The 20,404-nt window shown below is 42.0% G+C and overlaps 1 protein-coding gene and 1 long non-coding RNA gene across 5 annotated transcripts in view, besides 1 other annotated feature; one reads left to right on the top strand and one right to left on the bottom strand.

The window, feature by feature from the left end:
- Positions 75-564: a silencer, noted in NCBI's record as "silent region_9460". NCBI's record gives its function as "represses an Ori minimal core promoter by ATAC-STARR-seq in GM12878 lymphoblastoid cells {active_cell/tissue: GM12878}" and the evidence as "EXISTENCE:reporter gene assay evidence [ECO:0000049][PMID:35858748]".
- Positions 237-20,318, top strand: ELAC1 (elaC ribonuclease Z 1). Its single transcript, NM_018696.3, has 4 exons — positions 237-311; positions 6,594-6,758; positions 16,293-16,760; positions 18,816-20,318. The coding sequence occupies exons 2-4, from the start codon at positions 6,602-6,604 to the stop codon at positions 19,280-19,282; spliced, it is 1,092 nt and encodes a 363-aa protein (NP_061166.1). The 5' UTR covers positions 237-311; positions 6,594-6,601; the 3' UTR covers positions 19,283-20,318.
- LOC107985152 (uncharacterized) overlaps positions 6,985-20,404 on the bottom strand; it is a 55,307-nt gene continuing 41,887 nt past the window's right edge. For 2 of the 4 annotated variants that reach the window (XR_007066370.1, XR_002958225.2), the window contains exons 2-4: positions 16,322-16,537; positions 15,063-15,151; positions 10,529-11,283 (exon numbers count right to left, since the gene is read on the bottom strand). This is a non-coding gene — a long non-coding RNA (uncharacterized LOC107985152). Of the gene's footprint in view, positions 7,191-10,528; positions 11,284-15,062; positions 15,152-16,321; positions 16,538-20,404 lie in introns of those variants that run through there. The other 2 variants (XR_007066371.1, XR_001753449.3) reach the window with 2 other exon arrangements.

Consider the following 20,404-nt stretch of genomic DNA (forward strand, 5'->3'; position numbering starts at 1 on the left):
AGTAACTTTTTCCCTTTTGGTTTATCCCGCTCTGGTCCTCAGGGCGATAGCTACCACCTGACACACAGCGACCTGGGAAAGAGGGAAACTCAATCACTGCCCTCGCGGCCCGGGGGGAGCCCGGAAGCGCGCCCAGAGCCAGGTCCCGCGCGGGCGCCACCGAGCGCGGACCTCCCTCGCATCCTAGAGCGGCCGCGCGGGACCCGGCCGGCGGCGCACTTCCGCCCGGGCGCATTGTAGCCCCGCGGACAGCTGGGCCAGGGTGCGGGCCTGCGCCTCCCTCGGCTCCTGGCGCGGGCCTCGGGGAGAGGGTGAGTGCGGTAGGGCATACCAGAGGGGGGCGGGCGCGCTTCCTCGGGACTCGCCGGCTCGATCAGGCACGGCCCGGCGCTGGGGACCTAAGCCTGGGGAGCGCCCGGGAGCGAGGACGCGCCTCGTTCACCGCCCCGGGCCGGAGTCTCGGCGGGCCGGAGCCTCGGCCGCCCGGCGCCGCCGCCCACCCAGCCTTTTTCGAGGCCAACACGGTCTCGTGGGGGAGCCTGGGCTCTCTGGAGGCCGGAAATCTGGCCTCTGGCCCTGCCTGTGCCTTGGCCTCTTACTCTCTGCCGCCCGGCCTCGGTTCTTTCAGCTCTAAGATGGAGGACAGCGATATCTGCCCTAGGCACACCACAGGGTGATTGCAGGGTTGACACTGCCTGCCTGAAAACGAAGGAGCGCCGGTTCTCAACCCGGCAACCAGTAGAATCGCTTGGGAAGCCTCCAAATGCTGATGCCCCATCATCACCGGGGAATTGTGATCTGCGGCCAGGACCGAGATCCACGGGCCCAGAGTGAAATGACAGTACTGTGATCACGACTGGAATATGCACTTCGCCGAACGTGGATCACAGTCTTGAGAAAGCAAGCAGCTGGGTTTTTGTTTTGTTTTTTTTCCAAGAAGACAGGGACCTAATCTGGTTTGCTCGCATTTAATTCCTAGTGCCTAGAATGGTGCATGTCCCAAAACATGCACCATTGATTAAATAATTTCTGATTACTTCCCGACCTATTTGGAGGGTTTTCATTATATTTGTTTTAAAATTATTATGGAAACCTTCAAGTCATATATGAAAATTGAATAGTAACTGAACTCCCAATTCATGATCAATTCTGTTTCATCTGTTACCCTCTCCCCCACTGTAGTATTTTGAAGCAAATCTGAAATGTACCATTCCATCTGTTACCTTGTTCATGTTTATAAAACACAATAACACCTTTTTAAAACATAAAGCCATTATCAGTGTACTTAGCACTTCATTTTACCCTCTACTATCCAGTCAGCATTTACATTTTCCTAGTTGTCTCTTTCCTCTTACCCAGTTTGTCCAAATCAGTATCCAAACAATCTACACACGTTATATTTGGTTGATGTCTCTTAGATCTCTCTTAATCTTTTTCTCTTGCTCTTTATTTTGTTCCCTGTATTTTACTTGAACAAGTCATTTGTACGGTTCACGTTTTCTACAACCAGGATTTTGCTTTTTCCATCTCTGGTATCCTTTAATAAGCAGGTATTTAGACCTGCAGACTTGTTCAGGTCAGGTTCGATTTTTTGGCAAGAGAACTTAATGGGGGATTACTGTGTTTTTCACATTGTATCATACCAGGAGTTAGATAGCATCTTGCCTCTCTTTGTGGACCTTTTATGTACAAGTAGCACCGTAGGGTAACAATTGACCAGGGAATGCCAGCAAATACATGCAAAAGAAATGAGAGAATATCACCTTTTGGCAACCCCTAATGAAATAATGGATCCTGGCAATGATCACTAGCGGCTGTTAACGTCAGAAAGAGAGACAGCTAGACAATGCGTGCTGCCTAATGGGGTACTCCCATCAGACAGCACACCGTTTGTCTTATCAAGTATTCTTGGAGTAATGGGGGTGGTGTGTATAGATGAAACATGATTGCCTATGAGTTAACAGTTGTTGAAGTTCAATGATGGGTGTATGGCATTGCATTATGCTAATCTCTACTTCTGTATGTGTCTGAAGTTTTTCAGAATAAAACTTTTTTTAAAAAGATTGATTAGTTGAGTAGTGAGTTTAGGTCAACCTGATCCATACATTGCAGTTCTCTGTTAGCCTTTCACTAAGTGATTCTCAAATCGGACTCCATGTTAGGATCACAGGAGAAGGCTTTTTATTTTATTTATTTACTTTTTAATACTAAAACATGTCTCACTTGCAGAATTTCCTATCTAAATGTTCTGGGATGGAGCCCAATTATTGATAGGGTTTTTTGTTTTGTTTGGGACTACAGGTGTATGCCACCATGCCTGGCTAATTTTTTTATAGAGACAGAGTCTTGCCATGTTCCCCAGGCTGCTCTTGAATTCCTGGCCTCAAGCCATCCTGCCACCTCAGCCTGCCAAAGTGCTGAGTTTACAAGCAGGAGCCACCGTACCTGACCTTCACTGATATGTTTTAAAAGCTCTCCAGGTGATTCTAATATGCCCCCGGGGTTATGTACTACTGATCTAAATCCATTATTTGTTAGGGATGACAAAGTGATTATATTCTATTATTCCTTCTGCAGTTAATTTGCCTTTACAAATGTTAACTTTCTGCATTCTGTTTATTCTTACCTATCTTGCAAATCAATAAGGAAGCCTCTGCAAATAAAGCTCCTTTCTTAGCAGAGGAAGACTTGATCTTGGAGGTGATAATGTAGAGTAACACATGAAAGGGATGTTAGCAATAACCTCAACGCTATGCTTAAGGTAGAGATGCACCACCTTATGTATGAGGGTTGGGGGCAGGAAATATGGGGAGGGGCTGTTTCCCAAAATGGAAGGGAAGACTAGGTAGTGTGTAGTTAGAGAAGCATGTTTGGCCATATGACACATTTCCAAAAAAAAAAAAAAATCATCAGCATTAAGTAAATATAAATTTAAAAAAAATAAAATGCCACTCATTGAAACATAATGCAATAAATTTAAAAGAAAAGTTAACCCCCCGCACAGCCCCCACCCCATCACTTTAATTACCCCTGAGATAACCCATATTAACAGGATGGTGTGTATCCTCTCCCACATCAGACTTTCTCTGTCTTACATAAATGTAGGGGTTTGGGGTATTGTTATAAAAACGAGATCATACCATAGCCATCTGTAACTTTTCTCCTTGTCATCCCTCCACAACAGTAGTTACAGAAGACTCTATTAGCTGCAGAATAAATAGTTGATAGACTAAATAATAGCACAAATGTACAATAAAATATTCAGCCATTTTCCTATTGACATTTTTAGATTGCTTTCATATTTTAGCCATCTTGAGAGCAACACAATACACGTCATTTTACATAGCTCTTTATTATTTGGGTAGATTACCAAAAATGGGATTACTGGGTGAAAGCATATAATTATCAACAGCATCATTATTACTGGTAATATATATTCCAAATTATTCTCCGAAAGCCTAATCGCAATTCATAACTTTGTCACCATTAGTTTGTGACAGTAGCCATTTACCGTCATCCTGGTTAGCACTGACTAGCATTGCTCTATTGATATTTGCCTGCCAGCTGATGTGTGGTAAATGGTCTCTCTTTTTGTTTGTTGTGAGAGTGGGTCTTGTTCTGTCAAGCAGGCTGGAGTGCAGCAGTGAAATCACAGCTCACTGCAGCCTTAACCTTCCAGGTTCCAATGATCCTCCTGCCTTGGCCTCCTGAAAAGCTGGGACTATAAGCACATGCCTCCATGTCCAGCTGATTTTTGTTTTTTAATTTTTTTGTAGAGACAGTGTCTCACTATGTTGCCTAGGCTGGTCTCAAACTCCTGGGCTCAAGTGATCCTCCCACCCCAGCCTCCCAAAATGCTGGGATTGCAGGCATGAGCTACCATACCCAGCCTCTTTGTTCTTTATTTTGCATTCCACTAACTACCTGGAGACTGAACCCTTATCTTTTATTTATTAACTTAAATTTTTTAAATAGATACACGATAGTTGTTTGAACCCTTTTCATGCTTATAGGCCATTTGGATTTCTTCTGTGATTCATATATATACATATTTATGTATATATATGTGTATATATGTATATATATGTATATATGTGTGTGTGTGTGTGTATATATATATATATATATATATATATATATCCTTTGCCTGTTTTTCTGTTGCACAAGTATTTTTGTATTTTGAATGCATTTGCATAAACTTTTTTTTTTTAGGAGCATTAACCCCCTGTCATAAGGGGGTCCAAACTTTTTTTTTTCAGGTTTTTTTTCTTGTCCTTTGACTTTATGAGTCTCAATATATATAAAAGATTTTATTTAGTGAAAATGTCTGTTTTTAAAGTTTCTGGATTTTATGTCTTGCCAATAAGGGCTTCCCATCTCCACAGTTAAATGTATAAACATTCTCCTAATTTTTTTGAACACGTTATTGGATTTTTTACATTTAAATTTCTTAACTACGTGAAGTGTATTTTTATATACAATGCAAAGTGAGCATCTTTCTTTGCTTTTTTCTCTGCTAGAATAGCCAATTATGTCAGTGCCATTCATTAAAGAAACCACACTTTTTACACCTTTGTTATATACTGTATTGATTCCGATAGGTAGCTGGTTTATTTCTGAACTTTCCCTTCCCTTTTACCTCTATTTTTGTGCCAATATTATTGTTTGTATGTATGTATGTATGTATGTATTTGTTGAGACAGAGTCTTACTGTGTCACCCAGGCTGGAGTGCAATTGTGCAATCTTGGCTCACTATGACTGCCGCCTCCCAGGTTCAAGCAATTCTGCTGCCTCAGCCTCCTGAAGTAGCTGGGACTACAGGTGTGCGCCAGCATGCACGACTAATTTTTGTATTTTTAGTAGAGACAGGGTTTCACCATCTTGGCCAGGCTGCTCTCAAACTCCTGACCTTAGGTGATCCACCCTCCTCAGCCTCCCAAAGTGCTGGGATAACAGGCATGAGCCACCGTGCCCGGCCTATTCTGTTTTAATTATGTCAGATTGCTGTAGTAAATGTTAATACCTAGAAAAGCAGGTCACCACTCACTGCTTTTTGGAATTTTCTCATCCCTTCTCAGACATTTATTTTTCCTTCCATATGATTTTTGGATTGTTTCTGTTCCAAAATAAATCCCACTGGAAGTCTGATAGAATTTCCACCAAATACATCTACATTAGCTTAGGAAGGATGAACATCTCTGTGATATCAAGTCATCCTATCAGGGACATAATGTGTATCTTTTATTCGTGTGAATCTTTTGGGTGCTGTTCCTTTCCTGCTAACTTTATTTCTGGTAATTTTGTTTTTGCTCTTAGAATGGGTTTTTCCCCCATTTCTGTTTTTATCTTGTTATTGCTAAGACTGAGAAGAGTTACTGAAGTTTTTGTATATTTTATATCTAGCTGTCAGTCAAATTCTCTTACAGTAGTTTTTCTTAAGCTTCTTTGTTTTCTTCCCTGCCATCAATGTGGATAATCTATAATCAGTTATGTATAAATTTCAGTTCATTCTAATATATTCTGTTTGATACATATATTCCATCTCAGAAGTATATCAGTGATGTCAGATGTACCTAGAAATAGTGAAAGGAATAGTGCCAGGAGTTGGAATAAACCTGCACATTCAACAGGTTGTTGCTGATCACTTAAAATAGCAGAGTCCCAAGTCCTCGTGAGTCATGGACCATGTCATGTAGGGAGTGAGACATTTGTTCAGCATTATTGTGAAATATCAGCATGACTATAGAGCATAATAGAGCATTACTGTTATGATTGTTCAGAGAAAGGGAAAGGGCTGATCATTATGGGCATCAGAGACACCATATGGTGAGTATCATTAAATACCATCTCTTGCCCTGTATCTCAACTAGAGTTGTTGTTGTTTAGTGTTTATTAGAAGGATTTTTTTTAAAAAAATTAGTAAGTAGAAAGTACAGAGTGTTCCCATATACTCTCTTATCCCTCACCCCTCAGTTTCCCCTTATTAACATCTTGCATTAATGCGGTATATGTTCAGAAGCTTAAGGGCTCATGAAAAAAAAATGAAAAATGTGCTACATGTGTTACAGTTGTTGAGCCAATATTGATACAGATACACTGTCAACTAAAGTTTACATTAGAGCTCATTCACTCTAGTGGTGTTTATTCTGTGTACAGTTGACCAATGTATAATGACATATGTCTGTCTTACTGTATCATACAGAATCGTTTCACTGCCTTAAACATCCCCTGTGCTCTGCCTGTTCATTCTTCCTTCTCTCACCCTGTATCACTAGCAAGCACGATTTTTACTGTCTCCATAGTTTTGCCTTTTTGAGAACATCATATAGTTAGAATTCAGCTATAGTTTTTAATTGCCTGGGTTTGGTTATTTTTGTTTGTTTGGGTGTGTGAACAATTATACAAGATTTGTTAACTTGTAGTTTTAGCCAAGTTATTAAAACCTTACTGTGGATATGTGTGGAATACTATGAGAGACCAAGAATCCAGACTGTTCTAAATAACCAAAAAGTAATAATAGAGATAAATATTACAGGAATATGTTTTTGGTACAGTGATATGAAATAATCCCCAGATGATCTTTCTGTTGCAGGGTGGAAGATGTCTATGGATGTGACATTCCTGGGGACGGGTGCAGCATACCCATCTCCAACCCGGGGTGCCTCTGCTGTGGTCCTTCGGTGTGAAGGCGAGTGCTGGCTCTTTGACTGTGGGGAGGGAACACAGACACAGCTTATGAAAAGCCAACTTAAAGCAGGTTAGTGTGCCTTCAGCTATCTCATTAAGATTTTTTTGTTGTTCTGCTTCATTTTCTTGGCTCTCCTTGGACATTTTGTTTAGAAACAGCCCTGATGGTTGCATCCCACTTCAGTGCTACACCCTGGTGAGACTTGGAAGGCCTGCAGGCATCTGGCCACGTCCACTGAACTTCATTTACTTATTTACTTGCTTTTCATTTATCCTGTAGATGCTGAAAGCAAGGATTCATGTAGGCTTGGGGTTTGGGAAATGTCGTGGGATACACCAGGCATATTAGATGAACACTGCCTTAGCAAGGAAGCAGTGTACATACTTACCTCCACCAGGAGATAGTTTTCATGAGAGGATGCAAAGGGTAGGAAATGTTTGGAGGAGGGAGATGTTGTTTTCCTCTTGGGGTTATCAGGGTAAACTTCTCAGAGAAGTTGACCTGTGGATTGTCAAAGGAGGAGGAGGAATTTCAGGGCTGAGGAGAAGAAGGGCATTTCAATCAGGGGGAATGGAGTGAGCAGAGGCCAGCACCTGGGAGATAGAGCAGTCCAGTGGTGAAAAGCTTCAGCTCAGAGTCAGGCAGACCTGGGTTCTAGTCCTGGCTGTGTCTTGGGCCTGTGACCTTAGCATATCAGCAAACTTCAACTTTACTTTCCCGATCTTGAAAATGGGGATAAAAAGTCTACTTAGAAAGGGTGTTATGAGAATTACATGTAATCATTTATTCTCTGTGTGATTGCCTCTTTCTCAGTTAAATCTTAGCTCAGATGCCATCTTCTCAGAGGCTTTCCCAAATCCTCCTGGATTAAGTAGTTCCTCTCTCACCCCAGTCATTCCTTTACTTTGTCCTATTTTTATTGACTTCTTAGCATCATCAGTATCTGAAATTATGTTATTTAGTTTGTTTCTGTGTTCTTTATCTCCCTATACTGTAAAGTACGTTCCATGATCATTTATATACCTAGTAGATGCCTAGTTATATCTGTTCAACTAGGCATCTACTAAGTATATAAATGATCATGGAACTTACTTTAGTGAATGGATAAGACGTTTAGCAACTTAGCACAGTGCCTCTCACTTATTAGGTCTTGATAAATAGTATTGAAGTCATTATTCCTACAACTCTTCACAGTACCTGGCACTTGGTGACTAAAGGAAAGATACTTCTAGTGTTCAGGGATCTCTTGGTCCAGTGATGGAAACTGACATGCAAACGGACAGTAATCAATCATGTAATGTGATAAGTAGAATAATGGAAGTATTTTCTAAGTACTTTGGAGCACAAAGGAGGGGGAAGTAACTGACCATTCATTCATTAATAGAAGGCATCCCAGAGATTGTTAACAGTTGAGCTAGGATCCAAGAGATTCATAGAAGTTTTTCTGAGAGAGAGGTAGAGATGGACATTGAGGGAACAGACAACAAAGTGAGCAACAAGTAAGGAAGTTTCCAGGAAAGAACTGGCATGTTGGGGAGCATTGAGTACTTGGCTAGGCTAGATGGAACTAAGAATGCTGAAAAGGTGAGGGCTGACTGTGAAGTCCTCTGTAGCATAGTAAGATATTTAGACTTTATTGTTCTACTGGGAAAAAGGAACCATTCATGTTTTTAAGGGGGAATAATGCAATCTCGTTTGTGTTTTAGGACAGAGTTTTCTGATGGCACATGTATTGGGAGAGAGAGAATAGCATCAGGGAGACCAGTTCCAAGGCAATTGCAGTTCACTTGTATCAGTTCATTTTCATACTGCTATGAAGAAATACCCAAGACTGGGTAATTTATTAAAACAACAACAAAAAAGAGGTTTAATGGACTCGCAGTTCACATGGCTGGGGAGGCCTCACAATCATGGTGGAAGGCAAAGGCAGAGCAAAGGCGTGTCTTACGTGGTGGCAGGCAAGAAAGCATATGCAGGGGAACCACCCTTTATCAACCCGTCAGATCTCATGAGACTTATTCACTGTCGTGAGAACAGCATGAGAGAACCTGCCCCCCATGATTCAATTACTTCCCACTGGGTCCCTCCCATGACATGTGGGGATAATGGGAGCTACAATTCAAGATGAGATTTGGGTGGGACATAGCTAAACCATATCATTCCACCCCTGACTCCTCCAGAACCTTATGTCCTCACATTTCAAAACCAATCATGCCTTCCCAATAGTCCCCCAAAGTCTTAACTCATTTTAGCATTAATTTAAAAGCCCACAGTCCAAAGTCTCATCTGAAACAAGGCTAGTCCCTTCTACCTATGAACCTGTAAAATCAAAAGCAAGTTAGTTACTTCTTAGATACAATGGGGGTACAGGCATTGGGTAAATATACCCATTCCAAATGAGAGAAATTGGCCAAAACAAAGGGGCTATAGGCCCCACGCAAGTCCAAAATCCAATAGGACAGTCAAATCTTAAAGCTCCGAAATGATCTCCTTTGACTCCATGTCTCACATCCAGGGCATGCTGATGCAAGAGGTGGGCTCCCATTGTCTTGGGCAGCTCTACTCCTGTGGCTTTACAGGGTATAGCCCACTTCCTGGCTGTTTTCATGGGTTGGTGTTGAGTGTCTGCAGCTTTTCCATGCACACAGTGTAAGCTGTCAATAGAGCTGCCATTATGGGTTCTGGAGGACAGTAGCTCTCTTCTCACAACTCTACTAAGCAGTGTCCCAGTGGCTATGTGTGGGGGCTCACACCCCATATTTCCCTTCCACACTGCCCTAGTAGAGGTTCTTTGTGAGGGCTCCACCCCTGCAGAAGATTTCTGCCTGGACATCCAGATGTTTCCATACATCCTCTGAAATCTAGGTGGAGGTTCCCAAACCTCAATTCTTGACTTCTGTGCACCCGCAGGCCCAACACCACATCTAAGCTGCTAAGGCTTGGGGCTTGCAGTCTCTGAAGCAACCGCCTGAGCTGTACCTTGGCCCCTTTAAGCCACACTGGGATGCAGGGCACCAAGTCCCAAGACTGCACGAAGCAGCAAGGCCCTGGGCCCAGGCCAGGAAACCGTTTTTCCCTCCTAGGCCTCTGGGCACGTGATGGGAGGGGCTGCTGTGAAGACCTCTGACATGCTCTGGCAACATTTTCCCCATTGTCTTGGTGATTAACATTTGGCTCCTCATTACTTACACAAATTTCTGCAGCTAGCTTGAATTTCTGCTCAGAAAATAGGATTTTCTTTTCTGTTACATCATCAGGATGCAAATTTTCTGAACTTTTATGCTCTGGTTCCCTTTAAACATAAGTTACAATTCCAAACCATATCTTTGTGAATACATAAAAGTGAATGCTTTTAAGAGCACCCAAGTTACTTCTTGAATGCTTTGCTGCCTAGAAATTTCTTCTGCCAGATACCCTAAAGCATCTCTCTCAAGTTCAAAGTTCCACAGATCTCTAGGGCAGGGGCACAATGCTGCCAGTCTCTTTGCTAAAGCATAGCAAGAATCCCTTTGCTTCAGTTCCCAATAAGTTCCTCATCTCCATCTGAGACCACCTCAGCCTGGACTTTTTGGTCAAAACCATTCAACAGGAAATTCCAAACTTTCCCATGTCTTCCTGTCTTCTGAGCCCTCCAAGTCTCTAGGAAATTCTAAACCTTCCCATATTTTCCTGTCTCCTTTTGAGCCCTCCAAACTGTTCCAGCCTCTGCCTGCTACCCAGTTCCAAAGTCACTTCCACATTTTCAGGTATCCTTATAGCATTATCCCACTCTACCAGTACCAATTTACTGTATCAGGCCATTTTCATACTGCTATGAAGAAATACCCAAGACTGAGTAATTTATTTAAAAAAAAAAGAGGTTTAATGAACTAATCGCAGTTCCGCAAGGCTGGGGAGGCCCCACAATCATGGTGGAAGGCAAAGGCAAAGGTATGTCTTACATGGTGGCAGGCAAGAGAGCATGTGCAGGGGAACTCCCCTTTATCAAACCATCAGACCTCGTGAGACTTATTCACTGTCACGAGAACAGCATGAGAAAACCTGCTCCCATGATTCAATTACTTCCCACCGGGTCCCTCCCATGATGTAGGGATTATGGGAGCTACAGTTCAAGATGAGATTTGGGTGGGGACACAAACCATATCATCACTGTGTATATGTGTGTGTGTGTGAGAGAGAGAGAGAATGAGGATATTGAAGTATAGAGATGGAGATGAGAGATTCAATTTAAGAGATACTTGTAGAAATAAGAGGAGATGGTCACTGAATGTCTAGTGTGTGAGGAAGTGAAGAATTAATACAAGTTACTGATGGTGATGTCCTGGACCTAGAGAAGAAGTCAGGAAAAGAGTTGTTGGAGGAAGGAGCTAATGCATATTGTTTGGGACATATGGTAGGTACAATTGAACCGTAGTTATATACTGTCTTGTGTTGAAACTTTGAGATAATTCAGGTGCTATTCTTTGCTTTTCTTGGATCGTACAGAGATTCCTTTCATGAGAACCTTCATGAGAGCCCTCTGGACAGGCACAGGCCAGAGTAGAGACTTGACAGTTAACATTTTAGACAGTAGGAGTTGAGGTGGCAAGGTGTACTGAAATAGAAACAAGAAATTGTTAAGTGTGAGTACCAGAGGTTTGGCTGTGGGGATACATCTTTTTATTTAATACTTGTGTTAGTTATCTGATACTATCTAATAATGCATAACAGATTATAAATTTAGTGGCTTATTTGCATTTATTATCTCCTAGTTACTGTAGGTTAGGGAGTTCGGGCCTGGTTTAGCTAGGTTTTCTGCTTCAGGGTCTCACTAGGCTGCAATCTAGGTGTTGGCTGGGGTTACAATTTCATCAGAGGCCCAACTGGGGAAGATTCTGCTTCTCAGCTCTTTCAGGTTGTTGGCAGAACCCTTACAGTGGTAGGACAGTCCACCCTGAGCTCCTTGAGTTCTCTGCATTGTAGGTTTCTGCTTCATGGTAGCTTGCTTCTTCATAGCCAGCATGGGAGAAGGAGACTCTAGAGTAAGTCTGCTAGCAAGATGGAGTCTTATGTCCCATAAAGTAATCGCATTGCATTCTTGTGCCATATTCTGCTGGTTAGAAGCAAGTCACAAGTCCCAGCCACACTCAAGGAGAGGGGATTGTAGGACGTGAACACCAGGAGGTAGGGGCCACAGGGATCACCTAAAGTATCCACCACAAGTATATTTTACAGTTCCTTTATATATGATTTTCTGTTTTTTGTTTTTTTTTGAGACAGAGTCTTGCTCTGTAGCTCAGGCTGGAGTGCAGTGGTGCGATCTCGGCTCATTACAACCTCTGCCTCCCAGGTTGAAGTGATTCTTATGCCTCAGCCTCCTGAGTAGCTGAGATTACAGGCACATACCATGACACCTGGCTAATTTTTTTTTGTATTTTTAATAGAGATGGGGTTTTGCCATGTTGCCCAGGCTGATGTCAAACTCCTGAGCTCAGGCAGTCCACCCGCCTTGTCCTCCCAAAGTGCTAGGATTCAGGTGTGAGCCACTGTGCCCAGTCTATATAGGATTTAAATAAACAGTTGGAGTTGGGCACAGTGGCTCATGCATGTAATCCCAGCATTTTGGGAGGTCAAGGCAGGAAGATCACTTGAGGCCAGGAGTTTGAGACCAAGCTGGGCAACAAAAAGAGACTCCATCTTTACAAGAAATAAAGCCAGATGTGGTCCCAGTGGGAGGCTGAGGCAGGAGGATCCTTTGAGCCCAGGAGGTCAAAGCTGCAATGAGCCATGATTGAGCCACTGCACTCCAGCCTGGTGACAGAGCAAGACCCTGTCTCAACAAATAAATAAATAAACATAAATGCATGCATTCATACATACAATTGATAAATCTAATCTTGGCCAAAAAAACCCAAAACAAAATAAAAGAAAACAAAAAAAACACAACCCCAAAAGCCCAAAGGAACCTTTAGTTTACTACATTTCTATACGCTTAGAAAAAAAATTTCTGAGGCCAGGCATGGTGGCTCATGCCTGTAATCCCAGCACTTTGGGAGGCCGAGGCAGGTGGATCACGAGGTCAGGAGTTTGAGACCAGCCTGGCCAACATGGTGAAACCCCATCTCTACTGAAAATACAAAAATTAGCTGGGCGTGGTGGCGGGTGCCTGTAAACCCAGCTACTTGGGAGGCTGAGGCAGGAGAATCGCTTGAACCCAGGAGGCGGAGGTTGTGGTGAGCCGAGATAGTGCCACTGCACTCTAGCCTGGGTAACAGAGTGAGACTCCATCTCGAAAAAAAAAAAAAAAAAAAGAAAAATTTCTGGCCGTAGAGAGGAAGGTGAGATAGTAATCCTAGAGCATTACCTGTGACTCTCTAGTACTTCAGATGCCCCTAGTCTCAAACTGGAATGCAGCACCCTCAGTACATACTAATTTCTCTCCATAACCTATTATGGACCTATCATTATTTGATTCATTGAAACCCTTTGAGCTTGTACTACCTCTAGGGATAATGGATATATTACATAGTGGTGAAGTCTGGGATTTAATGTACTCATGACCAGATAATGTACATTGTACCCATCAGGTAACTAATTATCCCTCACCACACACCCCCACCCCCCGCCACCCTCCTACTCTTCCAAGTCTTCCATGTATATTATTCTACACCCTATACTTATGTGTACACATGAAATGATTATTAAAAGTATTATAAGAGCATGATTTTTTAAATGATATAAAAAGTATAAATGCTTATTGTAAAAATTCAAACAAAAGAGAAAAGTGTAAATAAGAAAAGTCCAAGTCTCCCCTCATAGGTGAATTTTCTATGTACATAGATATGGTGATAGTATGGGAGTGTGTGTGTGTGTATAGTTCTGCATACATAGAATTATACTGCTCTTGGCATAACCTGCTTTTTTTTTTCAACTGAGCAATGTATACAAACAATATATTGCAGCTTTTCCAAATCCAGTCAATATACCTATGTCTTCATTTTTAGAGAATGCTCAATATTCCATTCCTCTGTGGATGACATATTCCCCCATAACTTCCTTGTTCCCAAGGAAAAGGGAACTCAGGCATTTTTGTGTCTTCATTTGAAAGCTTCCTCATACCTTTGATAATTGTGGTTGCCATTCCTTCTCCCTTTGAAATCAGGTTTCTTGAAAAATGAAGTATTTGTCTCCTTGAAACTGTGATAACTGTAGGAAGCAGTTTGTCACTTAATTTGCCTCACTTCGAGTTCACAGGTTGTTTTGGTGTTCAGTTTGGCTTTGTTTTAGAGTGGATAGGGAAAGGGCCCAGAAAGTCAGATATTGGTAGTTTTTAGGCCACTGGGGGATCTGGACTCAGTGACTGCTATAGTTCTTTTTTTTTTTTTTTTTTTTGAGATGGAGTTTCACTCTTGTTGCCCAGGCTGGAGTGCAATGGCGTGATCTCGGCTCACCACAACCTCCACCTCCTGGGTTCAAGCGATTCTCCTGCCTCAGCCACCTGAGTAGCTGGGATTACAGGCATGTGCCATCACACCCAGCTAATTTTGTATTTTTAGTAGAGACAGGGTTTCTCCAAGTTGATCAGACTGGTCTCAAACTCCCAACCTCAGGTGATCCGTCCACCTCAGCCTCCCAAAGTGTTGTGATTACAGGCATGAGCCATTGCACCCGGCCCTATTGCTGTAGTTTTTTTGTCTGCAGAGTCCTCAGGTCACACATGGAGGTGGCTTGGCAACCCGGACAGGGAGACGGGGGAAATGAGGAATTCAGGCAGTAAAAAAACAGCAAAAAGGAGCATATCGAGGAAACTTCTAGAGTGCCTCCTGGGGATTCGCAAAGTCCACAATCAGCCTGTGCCAATCTGTTGTTCTCTGTTGCTGGCTGGGCTTGGATGTAGTAATTCTGGAAAGACTTGCTTGGAGAACACTTGATGTTATAGAACAAATCACATTACAGTAAACTATTCCTGTTCTTTTATGGTATCAATAAACTGTTTCTGTACTTTTATAGCATCAAACGTTTAAAATAGGTGGGCCTTGAGCAAAGGACCAGAAGCCTCTTTTGCACTAGAAATGTGTTAATTTTTGTTGTTACTTTTGAAATGTCATGTGGTGTGTCTCAGAAAATGCTGATGTGGCATCCTGCCATATTCCAGCAATAAATTCAGTTTACCATTGGCTAAACCAAGTTATAACCTAAGCCAATATGCACTGAAAAAGCTGTTGTGTTAGTTCAGACTGAAAGGAAGAATGGACCCAAGTACCCTTACATAATAGCTTAGGGGATCGGCTTTCCTGCATTCTGCCTTCTGTTGCCCACCTTCCTTCTCAGTTCTTCATCTTTTTCCCTCTCCTACCTCCCTTCTCCCTCCTCCTTTTCCCCTCCCTTCCTCACCGTTCTTCCTTTTTCTCCATCTTCTTCCACCTCACCCAGACAAGCAGGCCGTGACTTGATTGGTTAATCGCTGTCCAGTATAGGGAGTCCTTAAAAGGCAATTTTGGGTTCAGGCACTGGTCCAGTCAGTTGGAGCCAGTGGAACATTTTGTTTTCCTGGAATATATGTTTGCTTTTCTCAGAGGGAGCAGTAGGGGGCAATGTAATTGCTAGATGCTTTTAATACTTGAGGCCTATCTATTTAATAGTTAAGTGAATTATTTTGGTACACTTGTATATTTTACTTGGTGTTTTTTTTTTTTTTTTTTTTTTTTTTGAGACAGTTTCGCTCTTGTTGCCCAGGCTGGAGTGCAATGGCACAATCTCGACTCACGCAACCTCCGCCTCCTGGGTTCAAGTAATTCTGCTGCCTTAGCCTCCTGAGTAGCTGGGATTACAGGCATGCGCCACCACGACCAGCTAATTTTGTATTTTTGTTTAGAAGAGATAGGGTTTCTCTATGTTGGTCAGGCTGGTCTCGAACTCCCGACCTCAGGTGATCCTCCTGCCTCGGTCTCCCAAAGTGCTGGGATTACAGGCGTTGAGCCACCGTGCCTGGCCTACTTGTTTTTTTATGTGACAGAAAATGTATTAAAATACTCTGAAAGCTGTAAAACTATGTAATATGAAGATGTCTTATGAAAAATGTTATATCTTATTGAAACCATCTAGTGGGGCTAGGCACCGTAATCCCAGCACTTTGGGAGGCCAAGGTGGGATAATTGCTTAAGGCCAGGAGTTTGAGACCAGCCTGGGCAACATAGCAAGACCTCATTTCTACAAAATTAAAAAAAAAAAAAAAAAACCAGGCATAGTGGTAGGGTCTGTAGTCCTAGCTACTTGGGAGGCTGAGGCAGTAGGATCACTTGAGTCCAGGAGGTCAAGGCTGCAGTGAGCTATGATCACACCACTGCACTCCAGCCTGGATGACAGAGCAAGACCTGTCTCTTTAAAAAAAAAAAAACTATTAAAAACAAACAAACAAAAAACCACCTGGTGAAATAAAGCCTGTCTTCTTGTTTTTGGAATCATGTAGCAAAATGTAAATGAATAAGTTTATGATGATAAGTAGAACTTTTAAATTCAATTTACTATTTTTAATGTAAATTGTTAGGCTTGTTTCAAATAGCTTTGTATGGGTTTTTAGTTAATGAAAAATTTCCAAACGTATTTCTCTATCTCAATCAAAAGGGAGAATTACCAAGATCTTCATCACACACCTTCATGGAGACCATTTCTTTGGCCTTCCTGGGCTCCTCTGCACAATCAGCCTGCAGAGTGGCTCCATGGTGTCCAAACAGCCTATTGAAATCTATGGCCCTGTAGGGCTTCGGGACTTTATCTGGCGAACCATGGAACTCTCTCACACGGAGCTGGTCTTCCATTATGTGGTTCATGAACTGGTTCCTACAGCAGATCAATGTCCTGCAGAAGAACTAAAAGAATTTGCGCATGTGAATAGAGCAGACAGTCCTCCCAAAGAGGAACAAGGAAGAACTATCCTGTTAGACTCAGAAGAAAACTCATACCTTCTGTTTGATGATGAACAATTTGTTGTAAAAGCATTTCGCCTCTTTCACAGAATTCCCTCATTTGGGTTTTCAGTCGTGGAAAAGAAACGCCCAGGTAAACTCAATGCACAGAAACTTAAAGACCTTGGTAAGTGTTTTTTTGTTTTTTGTTTTTTCCCGCCTTCTCATCAATAGGGCTCCTGTTGACTGAAGCTATAAGAAATGTCATAGTAAGGCCAGGAGTTGTGGCTCACGCCTGTAATCCTAGCACTTTGGGAGGCCGAGGTGGGAGGATCACTTGAGTTCGGGAGTTCAAGACCAGCCTGGGCAACATGGCGAAACCCCATCTCTACTAAAAATACAAAAAGTAACTGGGTGTGGTGTCATGTGCCTGTAGTCCCAGCTACTTGGGGGGCTGAGGCAGGAGGATCACTTGAACCTGGGAGGTCAAGGCTGCAGTAAGCCAAGATAGTGTTACTATACTCCAGCTTGGGTGACAAAGCGAAACTCTGTCTCAAAAAAAAAAAAGTGTCATAGTAAGCTTCCACTCCTCTATCCCAGGCCTGAAACTGACAATTTCTCCACTTAGTCCCTTTGTCCAAAGTTTGCTTATTAAGGAAAATCCATGGGGCCAAAAAATGCTATTTAGAGCAAAACCCAAGTATACATTTGAATCCTGTCTTCATCTCCCTGGATCCACATTCTTAGTCTGTCTTCACCTTATACTATCTTGGTTGGCAAGGTGATTTGGGTGGTAGTGGTGGTGGTTTTAGGTCCAGGCTTTATTTTTTCATGTCTTCCCTTTGATACGTGTTTTTGATGACATCTTCGGTCTGAGAATTTTTGCCATCGTTCTTAACCTTACAACTGCAACCATGTGCTTTCAGAGTTTACTTCTGTATCTACTTTGCTTACTAATTTAACCTTGATTAAATTAATTTGGTATTCAAAACCCTGTGCCTCAACCAGTTTTAGATATCAGGGTTCATCGTAGTTGAAAGCAAGCATACAGAGGTGGGCTTGGGGCCCATCTAAGGCTTCACACCTCCTCTATGCTAAGCGCTAAGCCAGCATGCATGAGGGGATCTTTTCAGCACCTCTTGTGAGGTAGAGTCCAGGTACATTATATCTCCAGTGTCACTGCCTTCACAGGCATGCTGTGGCAGTGCCTGTAAAAAGCACAGTGGCATTTTGTGTGTGTTTGTTTTTTTATTTATGTGATCTCTTCCTCAACTAAAACAAAATGCTAGATAATGAGGAAAAGTGACTTAGGCCAAGGATATTTTTATTACCTGAAAGCCTGTGGAAATACTATTATATTTGGAAACTTTAAACATGATCTGTGTTGGAATTGGTGGTCATACTATACTAGTTTGTAAGTATTGTCCATAGTGATGATCAGGTCTTACTTTAAATTAATACGAGATTTAAGCCCACTTTGATAAATGTGGAACTGCCCCTGTCTGCCAAGAAGACTAATAATGTACAATTGCCTGAAAAAATGCTCCTTGATCTTGTAATACAAACAATCCTGCTAACAATTTTTTTATTAAGTTACTTTGTAGGTACTTGTTTTGACTAGGTGTTGATTATATCTTTTTTTTTTTTTTTTTTTTTTTTGAGGCAGTCTCACTCTGTTGTCCAGGCTGGAGTGCAGTGGTGTGATCTCAGCTCGCTCACTGCAACTTCTGCCCCCTGGGTTAAAGCAATTCTTGTGCCTTGGCCTCCCATATAGCTGGGACTACAGGTGTGCACCACTGCACCTGCCTCGGCCTCGCACAATGCTAGGATTACAGGCATGAGCCAGTGCACCCAGCCTGACTATATCACTATTTAAATACACTCTCAAATTTTACCCAAAGGTGAGCTTATTAAATAAAGCACTCTCAAAAACTGTTGTTTCTGTGCACAGCAGAGAATCAAGAATGTTACAGTGACTACAATAAGGTCCTAGTGATACTTAGGAGACTAAAACTTGTCTGACATGTATGCATGGGAAATGTTTCAAGTACTAAGGCATTGCTAATATCAATCAACACTGAAATTTTAAAAATGTATAAATCCAGTTTTCCACAAGTAGTAAAACATTTATAACAATTATGGATGCCTTTTCCATTAGCTATTTGCAATGCTGTTAAAATAGACTCTTGAAAAGTCATAAATTCCATTCCTATGATGTAATGTTATCTGCCTTCATCATTAGGTGTTCCACCAGGTCCTGCCTATGGGAAGCTGAAAAATGGAATTTCTGTTGTTCTGGAAAATGGGGTTACAATTTCTCCCCAAGATGTCTTAAAAAAGCCTATTGTTGGAAGAAAAATCTGCATATTGGGTGACTGCTCTGGGGTTGTGGGTGATGGAGGAGTAAAACTGTGCTTTGAAGCAGACCTGTTGATCCACGAAGCAACCCTGGATGATGCCCAGATGGACAAAGCAAAGGAGCATGGCCACAGCACACCACAGATGGCAGCAACATTTGCAAAGTTGTGCCGTGCAAAGAGGCTGGTTCTGACTCACTTCAGTCAGAGGTACAAACCAGTTGCCTTGGCCAGAGAAGGAGAAACAGATGGCATTGCAGAACTAAAAAAGCAAGCTGAATCAGTGTTAGATCTCCAAGAAGTGACTCTAGCAGAAGATTTTATGGTGATAAGCATTCCAATCAAGAAATGAAACCAGTGTTCCTGAGTGCACACTGACATGTCTGTGAATATGTTACTGAACCTATAGTCCAGTTTTTTTATTTCTTGTTTTAGTCTGAAATTATTTGGGCCCTAATAATCCTAAAAAGAATGGAGCTGCATTGATGAATTGGCTCAGTATTTAAAGGGAGCAAACTTTTTGATAATAAATCTTTTTAAGAGAAAAAAAACCCAGCATCCTTTTTGAAGTCCAGATTTGTCAAAATGATAGACTATTCAGTTATACATCTTATTTTGTGCTACTACCACAGATAGCCAATATTCCATGCAGTCCTGGGCTTAGCTTCTGCCCAGCTTTATTGCTGCTATTGGCAAAGAGCACAGGACTCAGCCCTCGTGGCTAAAAATGGTATTTTGGCAGTTTGTATTGAATCTGTTTGTGTTATTAACAGAAGAGGGAGAAATGTCATGAGACGTTGGACAGGCAGGATTGATGATAGCATGACCATAGCTTTGCTGGAATACTGAATGCAGGGTTTGGCTAGGTGTTTATTTTAACATTTTATTAAACTTTCTATTTGGGTCTTAACCCATGGTTCTCAGCTGGGGTGACACTGCTCCTCTAGAAGCAGGTTTGAAATTATGGGTATGTTTTCTTGTCACAGTGACTGAGTACGGTGGTGGTAGTGGTGGTACTACTACTACTGGTATTTAGTCAGCAGGGATAAGGGATGTTAGCTGTCCTGCAAAGTTTTGGTCAGTCATATACAATAAAGAATCATCTCACCCCGAAATGCAAATTGCAGGCCCATTGAGATACACAGCAAGTTAGTTTATACTCTTGATGTGAATATAGTTTACCAAAATTAGTGACATAATGAGTGGAATTACTAGGTAAGTCAAATCCTAAAGAGTGAATGTGTTAGAATTGCAGTGTCATACCAAATAACATTCAAAAGAAATGAGCCATTAAGTGAAGCTTATGAACCTGGAGGTAAAAAATGCTTATCTGTTAAACTGAGGTTTCATTGACGTGTCCCTATTAATAAACGTTATTTGCCCCACAATGTTTCTTAAAACATGCTCCATGGAAAGCTAGCCTTCAGTGCTGATTCACTCAGAGGAGCTCCTCAGTCAAATCAGTTTGGGAAAC

Source organism: Homo sapiens, chromosome 18, assembly GCF_000001405.40.
Source record: "Homo sapiens chromosome 18, GRCh38.p14 Primary Assembly".
In the NCBI taxonomy this organism is placed as follows: Eukaryota; Metazoa; Chordata; class Mammalia; order Primates; family Hominidae; genus Homo; species Homo sapiens.

Coding starts and splice junctions, on each gene's coding strand:
- ELAC1 (NM_018696.3), top strand. CDS start 6,602: ATGTCTATGGATGTGACATTCCTGGGGACGGGTGCAGCATACCCATCT. Junction 6,759..16,292: donor GAAAAGCCAACTTAAAGCAG/GTTAGTGTGCCT, acceptor CTCAATCAAAAG/GGAGAATTACCAAGATCTTC. Junction 16,761..18,815: donor ACAGAAACTTAAAGACCTTG/GTAAGTGTTTTT, acceptor CTTCATCATTAG/GTGTTCCACCAGGTCCTGCC.